This window comes from Homo sapiens, chromosome 17, assembly GCF_000001405.40.
Source record: "Homo sapiens chromosome 17, GRCh38.p14 Primary Assembly".
NCBI classification, from domain to species: Eukaryota; Metazoa; Chordata; class Mammalia; order Primates; family Hominidae; genus Homo; species Homo sapiens.
The window spans coordinates 41,080,227-41,098,456 of record NC_000017.11 but is presented as its reverse complement, the minus strand read 5'-3'; the positions used below and the strand labels follow the sequence as shown (position 1 = coordinate 41,098,456).

The window sequence follows — 18,230 nt, the reverse complement described above, 5'->3', positions numbered from 1 at the left end:
GGAGAGTCATATTTAAAAACAAAATGTCAGAGAGTCCTGTGACCAGTGCTTTGTAAAAGACACTGCATAGACCAGGGACAAAGGTGACCCCCACCAAGGAAGAAATATGACAAGCATTTCCAATGGAAACACAGGAGCACAGCAGGAAAAGGAAATGAGTTATTTTCTCTGTTTTGGAGTATTTAACTAGAAACACACAATGATGTAATTACATGATTAATTTTTTCAGTAGGTAAATAATAACAAGGAAATAATGACGTGGTGACAACGGGCCTTCAGGCGGGTATAAAGGGGCTATGGACCCAGGAAACTTCCAAACTCAAGAACTTTACTCTCTTGGAAACCCAAATAGATCCTTCACCCTCTGACACCATGGTCAACTCCTGTTGTGGCTCCGTGTGCTCTGACCAAGGCTGTGGCCAAGACCTCTGCCAGGAGACCTGCTGCTGCCCCAGCTGCTGTCAGACCACCTGCTGCAGGACCACCTGCTACCGCCCCAGCTACAGTGTGTCCTGCTGCTGCAGACCCCAGTGCTGCCAGTCTGTGTGCTGCCAGCCCACCTGCTGTCGCCCCAGCTGCTGTGTGTCCAGCTGCTGCAAGCCCCAGTGCTGCCAGTCTGTGTGCTGCCAGCCCACCTGCTGCCACCCTAGCTGCTGCATCTCCAGCTGCTGCCGCCCCAGCTGCTGTGTGTCCAGCTGCTGCAAGCCCCAGTGCTGCCAGTCTGTGTGCTGCCAGCCCAACTGCTGCCGCCCCAGCTGCAGCATCTCCAGCTGCTGCCGCCCCTCTTGCTGTGAATCCAGCTGCTGCCGCCCCTGCTGCTGCCTGCGTCCAGTCTGTGGCCGAGTCTCCTGCCACACCACTTGCTATCGCCCAGCCTGTGTCATCTCCACCTGCCCCCGCCCCGTGTGCTGCGCCTCCTCTTGCTGCTGAGCCCACTGCCCTGGCTCATCTCTCCCTTCACCGCTGGTCCACAAATGTAGACCATTCTTCTGTGCTGAATATTAGGACACATGGAGTGGGATTTATGTCATTCAGCAGGGTGGACCTCATGTATCCAATGAGCCCATCACCATCCCGCTGACTCTGTGAGAACATTCTGGTTCATTTTAAACTCCCTCCCTTGCTTTCTTTTTCTTCCAGTCATGGCACCAAATACGAATTAATTTGTAATCCACTAGCTAAGAAATTATTCCAATCCTCTAAATTCCTCATTTTTTAAAATCATTTTGAGCCTACAGAATATCCTTCCCAATTAGGTACACATTATCTCCCTTTCAAACATACTATTTGTCTGTCAGCCTTTCAGTCATTCTTTTCTTTTGGAAAGGTAGGAGGCTGCCCCTCCCGTGCTCTCCCGCTTTCTCCCTGCTCTCTCTTTCTCTCACTGTTCAAGTTTGTCAGAATTTTTCTATTTTATTAGTTCTTTATCTTTATTGTGTTCACAAAATATATTGTATTAAACTTTTCATTTAGAAATCTTTTATTGTTTTTTGCATTTTTTGTGATAATTTTCACTGAGTTTACTGATTCATGGGGGTGAGGTGGGAATGCAGTAGAAGGGGATTCTCAAAGCATGATTCCAAAGTAAGACTTCAGGGATGAAATCATAGTGCCAAACTGCTCCAATGTCACACATAAACTAAAATAAAATAGAAGCTTTTGATTGTTTCAATTTGATATACGGAATGGTTTGGGATACGTAAAACCCCTAGTAATGTCACAGATAAACTAAAATAAAATAGAAGCTTTTCATTGTTTCAATTTGATATACGGAATGCTTTGGGATAGGTAAAGCCCCCAGTATTGTTGTTTGTAAGTTCATCCATTATTTTAGAAATTATGATATCATGGTAATACTCCTCACTCTTCTGTGTGAAATTTAAAAAGTACATCTCATCCTACTGCATTCCATCTTGATTCAAATCAGTTAAGGCAGACTCCAAATGTTATATAAGGGAATTTTGTTATTTTGTTGTTGGTGGACCAGTTCAGATTCTTGAATTTGCTGCGCGAAAGAATTTGAGAGCAAATCCAAAGTAAGAGTAAGCGAAGAAGTTTGTTGCAAAGCAAAAGTACCCTTTGAGAGGCAGAGTGGGCTGCTCAATGGGAGAGACAGCAGCTAGTGCTGTAAAAGGAATTCCTCTCATGAGAGCTATACGTACATAATCAAAAAGTACCGGTGAGGTCAAGTATGCAAAGGCAGACCTGCGGTTGGCACATGTGCTCAGGATCAACATGGTGTAACACCCATTGCATGTATCATTAGCATATGAAATCTCCGCCTAGGGGTGTTTTTCTTGTTGTGGCTGTTTTTACTATTAAAATGAGGAAAAGGTTACTATAAGCTGAACCTTGAGCCTAGCTGTGCATGCAGGACCCCAGAGAAGTCCCTGCCCACCCTCCCACACACCCCACCCCTGGAAGGAATTTGTAGTTAGGAGTTTCTTGGGCTTTTGGTGCAAATTGGCTAGAGATTGGGGAAGCTACATCAGGAATAAAGGGCTTTTGCTCTCTTTCCCAGGTTGTACTAGGTATCAGGAATTTGTAACCCTCTGGTGGGTCTGCTGGTATTCCGTAGGACCCCTTATCTTGCGAAAGAGTTAGGTGCTGATGCACAAAGGTTCAAGTGAAAAGAACCTGCTGTGAAAGGCTCCTGCTGGGCTTCACACAGGGGACAATTCAGTATAGCCTTCTGAACCCGCAAAATCGGAGACAGGTCTCAGTTTATTTAGAAAGTTTATTTTGCCAAGGTTGGGGATGTACACCTGTGACACAGCCTCAGGAGGTTCTGAAGACAGGTGCCCAAAGTGGTCAGAGCACAGCTTGGTTTTATACATTTTAGGGAGACATGAGACATCAATCAACATATGTAAGATGAACAGTGGTTCCGTCCGGAAAAGGCCGGGACAACTCTAAGTGGGGAGGGGCTTCCAGGTCATAGGTAGATAAGAGAAAAATGGTTGCTTTCTTCAGAGTTTCTGATTAGCCTTTCCAAAGGAGGCAATCAGATATGCATTTATCTCTGTGAGCAGAGGGGTGACTGTGAATAGAACGGGAGGCAGGTTTGCCCTAAGCAGTTCCCAGCTTGACTTTCCCCTTTACCTTAGTGATTTCAGGGCCCCAAGGTTTATTTTCCTTTCACATTTCCGCCCATTTCTTCTTAAAAATCTTTTTGAGAAAGCATTTTAGAAGAAAGTCAGTCTTTGGTCTCAAGTTTCATCTGATATCTCATGGCTAGGATTGTTTATTCCTAGAAAGATAATTCCTGAGTTATTAGGAAAGTTCATTTTTAGCAGGTTGTGAAGTTTCATGTCCTATGAAGAGAAAATAGGGAAAGGAAGGGAGAAAAACAAAAATAAACAAAAGAACAATCCTGGAAAATCAATATGGGCCACATTACTCGGAAGTCCATATATCAGTAGGCAGGTATGAAAGAGGCTCACGTATGTGAAAAGGTTGCTAATATTTTCTTCTGAAGTTTAAATCTTATAGCTGCAGTTCACAGGGCTTTATAAAAGCACAGATGAGTTTTCGGTGACTCCAAATTAGGAAAAATGGTGGAAAGAAGAAGAAGAAAAAAACTGAAGACAATCTTTTGAAGACCTGTAGCCAAGAAAAATTAGAATTCAGTCCAAACTGTAAAAATTAATAAAAATGGAAAAACATTAGGCAAGACTAGAATCTAACAACAGGTGTACTATCATTTTTTGAAACAATTCTTCTCTCTCCCATTTACCATTTTTACTAAAGACAAATCATGGCAGAGCTGATTTGCTTTATTATACTTGACCTGATTATTGTATACAGCACAGTCATAGTAATAGTAATAATTTTTTTGCATAAGCTTTTAAATTCTCTTTGATGGAAGCGAAGCAGGATGTTTCCCTGACCCTTCTGTGGGACTTGTGACAGGGCCTCATTTATTCAGCCTGCCACTCTCACCTCCTTGCAGGAGAGAGCATGCAAGCAAATGAGGCAGGAACTGGAGTGCATGAGTGCTGGAATCAGCACTTCAGTGCTGCAGGATCAAACTTCACTCACTTGGACCTGCTGCAGTCCCCTGCTCATGGAAGGAAGCATGCAGGTGAATGGGTGCAGGAGCCAGAGTGAGTGCTTTTGGGTGCTGGCAGGAGCAAACTCTGTGCGGGCCCCACAGCAGCATCTAGGTGGAGGTGCCTGCAACTCCCATAGCCCCAGAAGTCATGTTACAGTGCTCTTTTAACTCTGCCTTCCATGGATGGCTTAAGTGTCAACAGCTCAGTGAGCCCTCTGCCTTTTTGCATGAGGCAGCTGCCCTCCAACAGCAAGAGCAGAAGGCCAGTGTGACAGCCTTTTGTATCTGCTCTCCTGGCTCCCAAGCTCTTGTCGGGTGTCCAGGAAAGGTGAGGTCACATGAACCAATCAAAGGATGGTAAATGTGGGGGATTTTGTTGCTGATGAAAGTGGCTCTTAGCAGGAAGGGAGCTGAAAAAGGATGGGGTGGGTAGGTAATCTTCCTCAAAGTTAGGCTGTATCCAGCCGGATTCTTCTCCAAGGTTACACCATCAAGCTGTCCCTCTGCAGTCAAGCTGCTTCTCTCTGATGTCCGGCTGTAGTCCCCAACATCCAGCTGCTTCTTGCCTCTGCCAGCTCAGTCTGAGATCTTCACAGGCACAGGATGGGACAGGATGGGGCCATGAGTGGTTTAGAAAAAGGCAACTTTCAAGCAGGAAAACAGGGATATAAGTTGTCACTTTGGGCCATGGTTTAAGGCTTTTCAGCTTGAAGGTGGGGTTTTGTCAGAGACCTATCCTTTTCTGCCTAGAATTTCTCTGTCCCCTGGCCCTATCAGAACTTTGTTCCATAGAAGGAATTTCGGATAAGACTTTTGGAAAGCTTAGCCTAGCCATGGATTTGTACCATCAAATACCTATGAGTTGGGTGAATTCCTCTCCTCTTGAGGTTCCAAGATAAACTTGGGGCTCCTGGAACTGTTAGAAAGTGACATGCTTTACTTACCACAGGTCAGGAACCCTGTACAGGGACTGTGTAGATAAGGTATGAGGCCAGTTCTCCCAAGGGGCTTTTATTGGCTCCATAAGTCAAGTTTGATTCCTCAAAGAAGAGCACACCATTCAAGTAAAAGCCTTGGTAAAATGACCAATTTATCGTGTCCTGTTACAAATGAAAACAGATTCTTATTGCACTTACGCAAATAACTGTATTGCCATAAGTTAAGAATACTCACAGATAGTTTCCAATTCTAGGGAAAATCAGGTAGAGAGAAACAAATATGCTCCAAATATTTTTCACAGGAGTATACTAACTTGTTAAAAGCTGACAACAGCTCAAAAGAAAAGTTTCCTTGACTGAAAAAAACAAAATAAAGGGTCAGCAATGTTTTAAGCAAAAAGTCAAAAAGATTACTTCAGTCTTCTGTTAGTTCAGTTCATGCAGTTAATTCCTGTTCTGCTTGCTATTCATGAACATTTCAGGTCTCCATGAGTCCTGAAAGCTTTTCCTTCATTGTGATGTCACAATCTCCAGAGTTATTAGAAACCTGCATTCAAGAATACCTGTTAGAGTTTTATAGCTGATTATAAAACCATCTTCTAAAGAGGACTAAAACAAGACAAAAATTGTCCATGGGTGACAAAAAGTTTTAGGTCAGCCATAGGCGAAGATACAATTGACAAGAAAATTTGTTACCACCATGGCACACAATAATTTAATATAACAATCATAATTATTACTGATAATGTACACCAGGTCATATCAGAATTATAGGAGTTTCCCATAATTTTGGTGCACATACCAATAACAATTTTATACAAATACAGCCCAAATAAAACCAAACACCATTTTATATTTGACAATGCTTCCTGTATAATTTTTATACCAAATAAGTCAAATTATTTCATTTTTGGACTTGAGGGAAACTAATATCTTAAAGGATTAATTAGGTCAGAAAAATACACAACTTGTAATTTGATTTTGGAAAGTTTGTCAAATATCAAAGGTTTAAAACACTTGATATGACAGGTCATCATAAAATAAGTCAATTTTTCAAACAATAAGCCCAAATAAAACAGCATAAAGCCAATTAAATTTGTTTTTCAAAATTTTTTAAACAATCTATAACATTTTAATCTTGACCATAAGATACAACTTTCATAAGCCTTTTATAACCTTTATAACCTTTATTAAGGGGTCAGTTAACACTTCAAGAAAACCTTGTTAATCTGACACAGGGGCCCATATGCTGGTATTGCATCAGTGTGCCTTTGACATCAATTATTAACTTGTATAGAGACTGAACTTATTTTATCTCTCAAAATCAGCCCTTATAATCTCACATGCCTACCTCTTCTGTGATTGTTCCTGAGTCTTGAAGAGTTGAATAGCTTTGATTTATGGCCTTATGTCTCAGAAATGCAGCTTATTTTGATAGGCATCTTCTACCAGGCCTGAAGATGAGGTTTTAATTGCTGTCAGTGTTTAAGATTTAGCAGATCTTGGTCTCCTTTTTAGATCCAGGAGTTAAAGGCCGGTAACTCAATGTCACAGGTACTTTCAAAGTGCACACAGAAATATACATGGATGTAATAACGTTAATTTTTTAAAAAAATTGTCTCAGTTTCTTTTTCCTAAGCAAACCAAAAATTAATAATAATGGCATAGGAATTGTTTCAATAAGCCATAAAATCTGTTAGGTCAATTACCAAAAGGCAAAAGAAAAGACCTTCTACACTGCACAGAGTATTACTTTGGAAGAAAACATTTCCTTTAGACTTTTAGAAAACATTGTTAGCATCAGGCCACAACAAACAGAACTTAAGGAAAATAACTTATATGAGCTGAAAACAAGTTGAAGGGGAGAGAAAACAGCAAGTAAATAGTTGAACTTTGGGTTAAAAAATTAAAATCTCTTATAATTTATTAAGAGTAAATCAATCCCTTAAGAAAATTTCATCGCTGTAACTAATTATTTAGTCTATAAGTGTTTTTTTTAGCATGAAGCCCAATCTTCAGGAAGACCATTATAATTTCCCTTTAATTATAGACAACTCAATCATATAAAAGTTTTTTGGTATTTTTTTAAAATAAATCCTCTTATGACTTATAGAGACTGTTCATGATATGCTTGGACTATCTAGTTTGTTTTGAACATCCATCTTTCTTAAACAATCAGTCATTTTATTTTAGGTCTAAATTTACCATACAAGATTCTTTCTCATATGAAATTATTTCTCTTTAAGCTTTCTTACCAGCACAGGCTGAACAGACTTTGAGAGGAAAATAGTTTATAGTTTACCTTTGAAACAAAGATTATAATATTTCATTCCCAAAGTAAATATTACTGCCTGTGGACTAGACCACTAAAAGCCACAAGATTAGAAGTTATGGTAATCTGACTAAATTCAAGATGTGGCTATTTTTATTAAACCAGTATCAATGTCTTATTTATTAAAGATTACACAAGCAAAGATCATTCTATCACAGTTTTGTAACCCCATGCCAAATTTTGACACCTTATAGTATTTGACAGGGATAAACATGAAATTGCTTGATTAATAAATGCAAACAAAATGCATGCTGGCAATTCTTAAGACATGTCTAATATTACTTTACCAATCATTTTAAAAGTAGCTTATTTATTAAAGATTTTACTTAAGTTACATAAACTTGAGAAAGCATTCAACTAGTCTTTTCTTTTTTCCTAATAAGTATTTGATTTAAGTGCTTTTTTTCTTAAGCCAATTAATTAGAGCCCTTTTATATATTTTCAGTAGTGAGACATTGTGTACACAACACATAAATACATAGACCTAGTAGGCATGTTGATAGAAGTACATCTTATAGATTCATAAGAAGATTTTTCCACTATCTTAGACTTTCAAATTCTCAATAACCTGTTTTAATCCCCTAGGAAGTTGTCAGCTAAATGGCTTTAAGTTTGCATATTAAAGGAAACAACTCAGGCAAAAATCAAAGAGCAAAATTTATGTCTTAAGGTACAGAGAGAAAAAGTCTGGTGGTGCTAGAGGGAAATTAAAATGGACTTCATTGCCAAATAAACATAAAATTATAAAAATTATAAAGGCCTTTTAAATACACACACACACACACACACACACACACACACACACACATCCTATAGCTTTTACTTCAGAACTTTAGCCATGAGACAAATACAAATTCACCAGCTTGCAAGCAAAAAAACTGTTGTATCCAAACAGTGGTTTTGATCTTAATAGAAAAATAACAGCAGATTTAAAGCAGGCAGAAAAGAAAATAGAGAAAAAAGAGAACTTAGGAACTCTGTAGTTTGTAGGTCCACCTTAAGGCTCTTCTTTTCTTTCTTTCTTTCTTTCTTTCTTTCTTTCTTTCTTTCTTTCTTTCTTTCTTTCTTGCTTGCTTGCTTTCTTTCTTTCTCTTTCTTGCTTTCTTGCTTTCTTTCCTTCTTTTCTTTCTCTTCTAAAAAAAAATGAAATATACATGCAGGAGAACGTGCAGGTTTGTTACATAGGTATATGTGTGCCTTGGTGGTTTGCTGCACCTATTGACCCATCCTCTAAGTTCCCTCCTCTCATTCCCCACCCCCCAACAGCCCCTGATATGTGTTGCTCTCCTCTCTGTGTCCATGTGTTCTCAAAGTTCAACTCCCATATGTGAGTGAGAACATGTTGTATTTGGTATTCTGTTTCTGTGTTAGTTTGCTGAGGATGATGGTTTCCAGCTTCATCCATGTCCCTACAAAGGACATGAACTCACTCCGTTTTATGGCTGCATCGTATTCCATGGTGTATATGTACCACATTTTCTTTATCAAGTCTATAATTGATGGGCGTTTGGGTTAGTTCCATGTCTTTGCTCTTGTAAATAGTGCTGCAATAAACATACATGTGCCTGTGTCTTTACAGTAGAATGATTTGTATTCCTTTGGGTATATAACAAGTAATGGGATTGCTGGATCAAATGGTATTTCTGATTTTAGATCCTTGAGGAATCACCATACTGTCTTCCACAATGGTTGAACTAATTTACATGGGCCCTTTCTTTCTTAATGTAAATATGCACAAAGACCATATTACTTCCATTTTACTTAAACTCTGGCAAGTACAGGTGCCATAAAACCTATGGAGTGCTTGAAAGGGAATCATTCTCTTTGCTTTCTCCTCATTCTTAGATTATTTGTTTCCCAGTTTTCTTCTTAAAAAGAGGAACTGAGCTGAGGCCTAGAGGTTTTCTGTGGTGGATCAATATGTGCCATTTGTGGGCAGGACTCCACAGTGGGTCACCACTGAAAACAACAGTTCAGTTCCTCATGCAAATGCACACAGACAAGCCGAATCGAGCTTAATTTGTGGAGAAAAAGCAACAGAGAGGACCCTTTAGAATGCATCTCTGAACTAGAATTAGGATTTTTAAACAACAACTTCCTGGAAGGAAAACGAAACAACAGCCAAGACCACTTTTTGTAAACTGTGCTCAGACACCCCTTAACTCTGTAGCTGTCATCTACCATTATACCCAGCAAGGTCAAAGCCAAAGAGGTCAGGTCATGCAATACAGGAAAATAGAGGTTTAGAGTTAAGAAGTATCTACCCATGACTCTTGAAACTCCACAAAGAAAACAAAACACCCCAAAAGGGGTGAGTGGCGACCTTTGTTCTGATTCTTTAAGGGAGTTCAAGTCATTAGAAGCCTTCTCTAGATTTTTTGGTACTGCAAATGGCAAAGGGGGAGGAGGTATATGGTGGAAGAAAAGTAAATGAAAGAAAATTTGTTTTCTAAGGCAGGAAGCAAACACAGAAACCAAGTGCATGGGTTTTTGGTTCTTTTTGTTTGTTTTCTTCTTTTGCAGCTGTAATGAATTTTAGCCAAATTAAAGAGGCTTTGTTACCCATAATTTTGAATTCTCACTTGGATTTGACCAAGTCAGGTAGAGTTGGTCAAGTCTGATGGGAGAAAGACCAAAACAAACAACAAAATGTCCAACAATACGATTACCAAGCATTCTAATGATAAGGAGAAATTAAGACCAGCTGGTTGTTAAACTTTAGCCAAGACAAAGCCCCAGTTCAGCTACTTACGTAGGGATGGGTCTCAGGCTGAAGGCTGCTTTCTACCATCCTAGAAGCAGGAAAAAAACTCAAACTGGTGTTCCCTGCTGGGAGTGAGCTCAAACTCTACATGCGTTTCATCATCATGGAAGCAGGAAATCTTGCCTTCCTTGTAAAGGAAGTAAAATAAATCTTGCCTTCCTTGTAAAGGAAGGCAAGTAAGCCAGTAAAACTCAACTCCAAAAAAAAAAAAAAAAAATAGATGGGGAAGTTGTACAGCAAAATACACTTTAGATCTTCACCAAATTTTGGGAGATCATGGATTCTTTGGGGAGGGTGCTTCCAGAACTCAGTAAATTGTCCTCTTGGTTTGAGCCATAAGGTTGGCTCATGCTATTACCAGGTACCAACTGGATATTTGTCAAAGGTCAGGTGCATCTCCACTCAGAATCCCTTCAGAATTACAAAAATGTGAACCCTGAATATCTGAGACAGGCTTCAGTTAATTTAGAAAGTTTATTTTGCCAAGGTTGAGGATGCTTCAGTGACACAGCTTCAGGCTGCTCCAGTGACACAGCTTCAGGAAGTCCTGACAACATGTGTGTAAGGTGGTCAGATAACACTTTTGTTTTATACATTTTAGAGAGATATGAGACATCAATCAACATATGTAAGATAAACACAGATTTGGTTCAGAAAAGGCAGGAGAACTCGAAGCAAAGGCGGGACAACTCAAAGCTGGGAGGGGGCTTCCAGATCATAGGTATATAAGAGACAAATGGTTGCATTCTTTTGAGTTTCTGATTAGTCTTTCCCAAGGAGTCAATCAGATATGCATTTATCTCAGTGAGCAGAGGGGTGACTTTGAATAGAATGAGAGGCAGATTTTCCCTAAGCAGTTCTGAGTTTGCCTTTTCCCTTTAGCTTAGTGATTTGGGGGCCCCAATATTTATTTTACTTTCACAGCCTTCTAACCTTATTTATCCTGCCTCATGTTTAAGAAGGCATCATAACTCTATGATTAAGATCTGGGCAACAATTTTCTTAAGGCATCTGAAAAAATGTGAAGCTTATCAATGATATCTGAACAAATCATCTTAAACTTGATTGGCTCAATAGCTTAGGGCACTTCAGAGCTGATAATTGTCAAGTAAAAGTAAAAACATCAAGAGCAGGTGCTCCTACTAGAATGCCAAGTTATAATCACTTACCATATTCTTTCAGATTCAAATGAAGGCACTACTCTTGAAGATTCTAATTAGGATATGCACCCCAGCTGCGACCTACTCAAGGCTATGAACTAATTTCAAAAAAAAATTCTTTTTTTTCTCAATTTATTTATTTATTTATTTATTTTTATTATACTTTAAGTTTTAGGGTACATGTGCACAACATGCAGGTTAGTTACATATATACATGTGCCATGTTGGTGTGCTGCACCCATCAACTTGTCATTTAACATTAGGTATATCTCCTAATGGTATCCTTCCCCCCTCCCCCCACCCCCACAACAGGCCCCTGTGTGTGATGTTTCCCTTCCTGTGTCCATGTGTTCTCATTGTTCAATTCCCACCTATGAGTGAGAACATGCAGTGTTTGGTTTTTTGTCCTTGCGATAGTTTGCTGAGAATGATGGTTTCCAGCTTCATCCATGTCCCTACAAGGGACATGAACTCATCATTTTATATGGCTGCATAGTATTCCATGGTGTATATGTGCCACATTTTCTTAATCCAGTCTATGTTGGACATTTGGCTTGGTTCCAAGTCTTTGCTATTGTGAATAATGCCACAATAAACATACATGTGCATGTGTCTTTACAGCAGCATGTTTTATAATCCTTTGGGTATATACCCAGTAATGGATTGCTGGGTCAAATGGTATTTCTAGTTCAAGATCCCTGAGGAATCGCCACACTGTCTTCCACAATGGTTGAACTAGTTTACAGTCCCACCAACAGTGTAAAAGTGTTCCTATTTCTCCACATCCTCTCCAGCACCTGTTGTTTCCTGACTTTTTAATGATCGCCATTCTAACTAGTGTGAGATGGTATCTCATTGTGGTTTTGATTTGCATTTCTCTGATGGCCAGTGATGATGAGCATTTTTTTATATGTCTTTTGGCTGCATAAATGTCTTCTTTTGAGAAGTGTCTGTTCATATCCTTTGCCCACTTTTTGATGGGGCTGTTTGTTTTTTGGTCTTTGACAAACCTGACAAAAACAAGAAATGGGGAAAGGATCCCCTATTTAATAAATGGTGCTGTGAAAACTGGCTAGTCATATGTAGAAAGCTGAAACTGGATCCCTTCCTTACACTTTATACAAAAATTAATTCAGGATGGATTAAAGACTTACATATTAGACCTAAAACCATAAAAACCCTAGAAGAAAACCTAGGCAATACCATTCAGGACATAGGCATGGGCATGGACTTCATGTCTAAAACACCAAAAGCAATGGCAACAAAAGCCAAAATTGACAAATGGGATCTAATTAAACTAAAGAGCTTCTGCACAGCAAAAGAAACTACCTTCAGGGTGAACAGGCAACCTACAGAATGGGAGAAAATTTTTGCAATCTACTCATCTGACAAAGGGCTAATATCGAGAATCTACAATGAACTCAAACAAATCTACAAGAAAATAATTCTTAAAAAGAAAAGTGAGCCTTGAAATTTTCAGCCTTTCTGGGTTTATATATAGTAAAATGTTAAGTGTGGAGATGTTTAAATTATAACGTAAACCCATAGAGACCACTGTCAGAAATATACCATGCTATCCAGATAAAATACAGCTCAACATGCTTTTTTTTTCTCAGCAGAACTCACTGGGAAATAAAGCCCGCTTTTTGGTTATAAATTCCAAAATGTTGTTTATTGAGTGAAATGACTCGAGTACATTAAATTCTTTATAGAAGATTTCCCTTATTTCATTGGTGTCTACTTTTCTGAAATTTGGTTTTATGTTTTTTGTCAAAATAGGGACAATAGTATTGTGAGATATAATGTGTTCATGATAAAATGTGTTTCAAGAGCTAAGGCATGAATTAAATGTCTTAATTTAGAATATTAAGACACATGTGCACATACACACACATATACACACAGCACTTTTATTCCAATACCTTAAATTATCTATATTTGATATAGAATGTATCTTCAAAATGATTTCAAGACGGGTTGCTCCTCCTGTGTCTTTGTGTAAAATATAATTGCCAGGGAATCAGTAAAATAATTATGAAAGCAATAGAGAATGATACCAATGAATTCTTAAGTGCAGAAAAGTTTATTAGAAAGCAGAGATACAACAAAGCATAAGAAATTCACCCTAGGAGAAACACAGAATACAATTGGGTGGCTGGATCTGAGGGTGCAACATCAGTGACAAAACTGGTCCTGCAGATAATATCTACCTCACTGAGAAGGAGAATCTGTACCTTAAAGTGATAAAGAAAATAAGGAAATCAGAAGATTGGAATAATTTCTTAGCTAGTGTATTACAAATTAATTCACATTTGGTGCCACCACCAGAAGAAAAAGAAAGCAAAGGAGGGAGTTTAAAATGAACCAGAATGTTCTCACAGAGTCAGTGAAATGGTGGTGGGCTCTTTGGAAGCATAAGGTCCATCCTATTGAATGACATCAACCCCACTTCATGTATCCTAATGGTCAGCACAGTAGAAGGGTCTACATCTGTGGGCCAGTGGTGAAGGGGGACGTGAGCCAGGGCAGTGGGCTCAGCAGCAAGAGGAGGCACAGCACAAGGGGCGGGGACAGGTGGAGATGACACAGGTTGGGCGATAGCAAGTGGTGTGGCAGGAGACTCGGCCACAGACTGGACGCAGGCAGCAGCAGGGGCGGCAGCAGCTGGGGCGGCAGCAGGTGGGCTGGCAGCACACAGACTGGCAGCACTGGGGCTTGCAGCAGCTGGACATACAGCAGCTGGGGCGGCAGCAGCTGGAGATGCAGCACCTAGGGTGGCAGCAGGTCGTCTCACAGCAGGTGGGGCGACAGCAGGTGGGTTGGCAGCACACAGACTGGCAGCACTGGGGCCTGCAGCAGCTGGACACACAACAGCTGGGGCGGTAGCAGGTGGTCCTGCAACAGGTGGTCTGACAGCAGCTGGGGCGGCAGCAGGTCTCCTGACAGAGGTCTTGGCTGCAGCCCTGGTCAGAGCACACGGAGCCACAACAGGAGCTGACCATGGTGTCAGAACGGGGAGGATCTGGGTGGGTTTCCAAGAGAGTGAAGTTCTTGGGTTTGGAAGTCTTCTGGGTCCATAGCCTCCTTTATACCCTGCTGAAGGCCCATTGCCACCACGTCATTATTTCCTTATTATTTACCTCGTGGAAAACTTAATCATGTAATTACATAATTGTGTGTTTCTACTTAAATACTCCAAAAGAGAGAAAATAACCCATTTCCTTTTCCTGCTGTGCTCCTGTGTTTCTATTGGAAACACTTGTCATATTTCTTCCTTAGTGGGGGTCACCTTTGTCCCTGGTCTCTGCAGTGTCTTTTACAAAGCACTGGTCACATGACTCTGACACTTTATTTCTAAATGTGATTCTCCCTCCTACCTGTAGATTGCTCTCTGCAAATCATGGGGGACAACTTTTATAATGTTAATGTGTCTTTTGTTGTCAAATAATGTCCTGGTCAGATGAAATGTTGGAAAGGAATTAGAAGGAAGGACTCATTCGGGAGAAGGATGTCCCATCTATAATGAAGATGACTCTGATTCCGTGTATGCTTCTTGAATGGTTGGGGAGATGGTCAGATCTTAAGGAAGTTATAAACTCTGTGTCAGATCTCATTCCACCACTCCAAGTGAAAGTACTTAGCCATGACTCATTGCCTTTAATGAGTAAAAACACATTTTTCTGTATGTCTTACAGTATAGGCATTTGGAGTAGGAAGTTTTGATTTACCTTTGATCATCAAAACTGCATGATGGATTATTCATTGACAAAAGCATTTGTTATATGTAAACAATATTTAGAATTATTAAGCCTTCAATAATATGCATCCAAGACATTCTATTGGGTACTCTGGGTATAGAACAGATAAACCCTCCTCTTTTTCCTGCAGGTACTTGTATAAGACACATGCATAAGAAACAGAATTTGGCAAAAATGAAAAGAATTACAATTATGTTCATTAAACAACTAAAATAAAAATGTATAGTATGTGGATAAGTTCCATACATCCTCAGGGTATGTATATTACTTGTGAAGTATTGACTATGTACCAGACATTGTGCTAAATATCTTTTTCATTTTCACTCTTTATTACAACCTTATAAAGTAGTGTACATTCTTATTGCTCTTTTAGCAGAATACTCAAAAGAAGCATTAAAAAGCTAAAACAAACAAACAAAATGCTTGTCCAAGATTAAAGAGAAAGTAAGCCTAATATGTCTTAGTGTAGCCAAGAAAGTGGTAAAGAACAAAATTTGCTAAGCTTGCTGAAACTGCTTCATCTTCTTGGAATGTGTCGTCTTTTTTTGTCCACTCTGCAAACTCCTACTCATTTGTCAAAACCCAGTTAAATATTTCCTCCTCAGTAATATCTTTCCTGATAAACTACCCCATTCATTTATCATTATTTCCTGCCTTGTGCTCATAATGTGATACATTCTACTGTATCATAGACGTTTACTTCTTTCATTCCCCCATATGCAATGCAAATAGCCTGAAGGCATGGGCTATGACGTTTCTTTTTGTTACCATGATACTCAGCACAGAGAACACCGGAAATAAATGTTTGTTGAATGAATGAAGGCTTTTTGATGACATAGAAGCATGTAAGGTCCTTTAAAAATGTATATATCGTTTGACTTCTGGATAAAAGAGAGGAAAACATTCCAAACAAGGAGATCAGAGTTTCATTTCAGGAAAACTACAATTATTTATGTGGTAAGCAACATGTCCCCTGATAAATAGCATATGTGGAACCTTGTGGAATTAGGATTCCGTTTATAGAATGAGACTTGGTTATAGATAACCAGGAATACCATGTTATCCCATTGTGGAAGGGAGAGAGGGTGAGACAGAGAAAGAAGGAGTCAAACTCATCCTTTTATAAGGAACCCACTCTTGTGATAACAACATTAATCCACTCATGAGGGTGGTGTCACCATGACCCAAACATCTCCTGTTAGGCCCCACCTCCCAACACTGCTGCATTGAGGATCAAGTTTCCAACACATGAACTTTGAGGGACACATTCAAACCATTGCATTCCACCCTTGGCCCCCCACATCCATGTCCTTCTCATACGCAAAATATATTCCTTTTATCCCAATAGTCCCAAAGTCATGTTCCATCACCAACTTAAAAGTCAAAATGTAAATCTAAGAGTCTCATGTGACTCTGATATGAATAAGACTCAACACAGGACTTATCCTGAGGCAAATTCTCCTCCATATGTGAACCTATTAAAGAAGTTATCTAGTTCCAAAATCCAATGGTGGGAGAGGCATAGGATAGACAGGCCCATTCCAAAAGGGAGCAACAGGAAAGAAAAAGGGTAACTGGCCCCAGGTGAGTCCAACAGGGAAGACAGCATTAAATCTTAAGACTGGAGAATAAACTTCGACTCCATGTGCTGTCTCCTGGATGTGCCCGACATGGGGAAGGGCTGCCTGGGGCCTTGGTGTTAGGCCCCAAATGCCCTCAGATAGCCCTGCCCCATGGCTTTGCTGGGCTCAGCCCATACAGCAGCTATCTGATTGGAGTCTCTGCTGCAGCTCTCTCAGGCTAGTATTGCAGGCTGATAGTTCTACAGTTCTAGGGTCTCAGTGGCTGCTCTGACCCCCCGTTTTCCTGAGCATGGCCCTAGGAGGACCTCTCTGCTGTGGCTACACCCCTAAGGCAGGCTGTCAGAAACATCCTTTCAAACCTAGGTGGACAACCATTGCCCCACAACTCCTGCAGTCTGTGTATCTACAGTCAGTACTACATCAACACCACCAAGGCTCACAGTTTGTACCCTCTGCAGCAGCAGCACAAGTCTCATCTAAGCCCACTTGAGCCACAACTGGAGCAGCAAAGGGGCACTGTGCTAGAATGTGGAGAGTACCAAGCCCTTTCTGACCTCAAGTTTCTCTCATTTGGAGCCTGTGATGGGAGGGATAGCTTCAACAATCTCTGAAATGCCTTCAGAGCCATTCTCCCATTGATCTGATGAACAGCACCTAGCTTCCTTCTATTCTTATCAATCCTTGTATCAAAGCATCACTTGGCCACACCCTTGCATGCTTTTTCATTCTTTTTTTTAAATTTTATTATTATTATACTTTAAGTTTTAGGGTACATGTGCACAACGTGCAGGTTTGTTACATATGTATACATGTGCCATGTTGGTGTGCTGCACCCATTAACTTGTCATTTACATTAGGTATATCTCCTAATGCTAGCCCTCCCCCCTCCCCCCACCCCACAACAGTCCCTGGTGTGTGATGTTCCCCTTCCTGTGACCATGTGTTCTCATTGTTGGTCAGGTTGCACATTTTCTACATCTATATTCTGTGTTTCCCTTTTAATTGCGAATTCCACCTTTAAATCGTTTCTTTCCTCTTGCATTTTACTATACGCAGTTCAAAGACACCAATCAGCTCCTTCAACATTTTTCTTGGAAATTTCTTCCCCCGATATACTTGTTCTTCTTTCTTTAACTCTGCCTTCCATAAAGCCTTTAGACATGAACATAATTCAATCAAGTCCTTTGCCACTTTGTAACAAGGATGGCCTTTACTCCAGTTTCCAATTCTTGTTCCTCATTTCCATCTGAGATCTCATCAGAATAGCCTCTATTGTCCATATTTCTCTCAGCATTCTGGCCACGACCACCTAAATAACCTATAAGAAGATTCATACTTTCCCTACAGCTATTATTTTCTTCTGAGCCCTGACCAGAATCACCCTTAATGCTCTCTTCATAGCATTACAGTATTCCTTCCCTATCTGTGGATTTACTTTCCACGGTTTCAGTTACTTATGGTCAACCACGGTTCTAATGTATTAATGGAAGATCCCAGAAATAAACAATTTGTAAGTTTTAAATTGCATGCCATTCTGAGTTGTATGATGAAATATCACCAATCCTGCTCTGTCTTGCCTGGGACAAATGTCCTCCCTGTGTCCATACTGTATACATGACCACCCTTTAATCCCCGAGTAAT

The 18,230-nt window shown here is 40.1% G+C and overlaps 2 protein-coding genes across 2 annotated transcripts, besides 1 other annotated feature; one reads left to right on the top strand and one right to left on the bottom strand.

Annotated features, from left to right (window-relative positions):
- Positions 1–314: 314 nt before the first annotated feature.
- KRTAP4-8 (keratin associated protein 4-8) lies at positions 315–1,476 on the top strand. The gene has a single exon (NM_031960.3). It carries the CDS (start codon positions 373–375, stop codon positions 928–930), a length of 558 nt encoding a protein of 185 aa, NP_114166.1. The 5' UTR covers positions 315–372; the 3' UTR covers positions 931–1,476.
- Positions 1,477–13,312: 11,836 nt separating this feature from the next.
- Positions 13,313–14,307, bottom strand: KRTAP4-7 (keratin associated protein 4-7). Its single transcript, NM_033061.4, has one exon. It carries the CDS (start codon positions 14,248–14,250, stop codon positions 13,783–13,785), a length of 468 nt encoding a protein of 155 aa, NP_149050.3. The 5' UTR covers positions 14,251–14,307; the 3' UTR covers positions 13,313–13,782.
- Positions 13,483–14,012: an enhancer, noted in NCBI's record as "H3K27ac-H3K4me1 hESC enhancer chr17:39240697-39241226 (GRCh37/hg19 assembly coordinates)". NCBI's record gives its function as "activates a minimal SCP1, AML or CMV promoter by ChIP-STARR-seq in primed H9 embryonic stem cells {active_cell/tissue: H9 hESC(primed)}" and the evidence as "EXISTENCE:reporter gene assay evidence [ECO:0000049][PMID:30033119]".
- Positions 14,308–18,230: the final 3,923 nt, after the last annotated feature.

Bases quoted from the DNA above. Each gene is read 5' to 3' on its own strand.
- KRTAP4-8 (NM_031960.3), top strand. From the start codon at position 373: ATGGTCAACTCCTGTTGTGGCTCCGTGTGCTCTGACCAAGGCTGTGGC.
- KRTAP4-7 (NM_033061.4), bottom strand. From the start codon at position 14,250: ATGGTCAGCTCCTGTTGTGGCTCCGTGTGCTCTGACCAGGGCTGCAGC.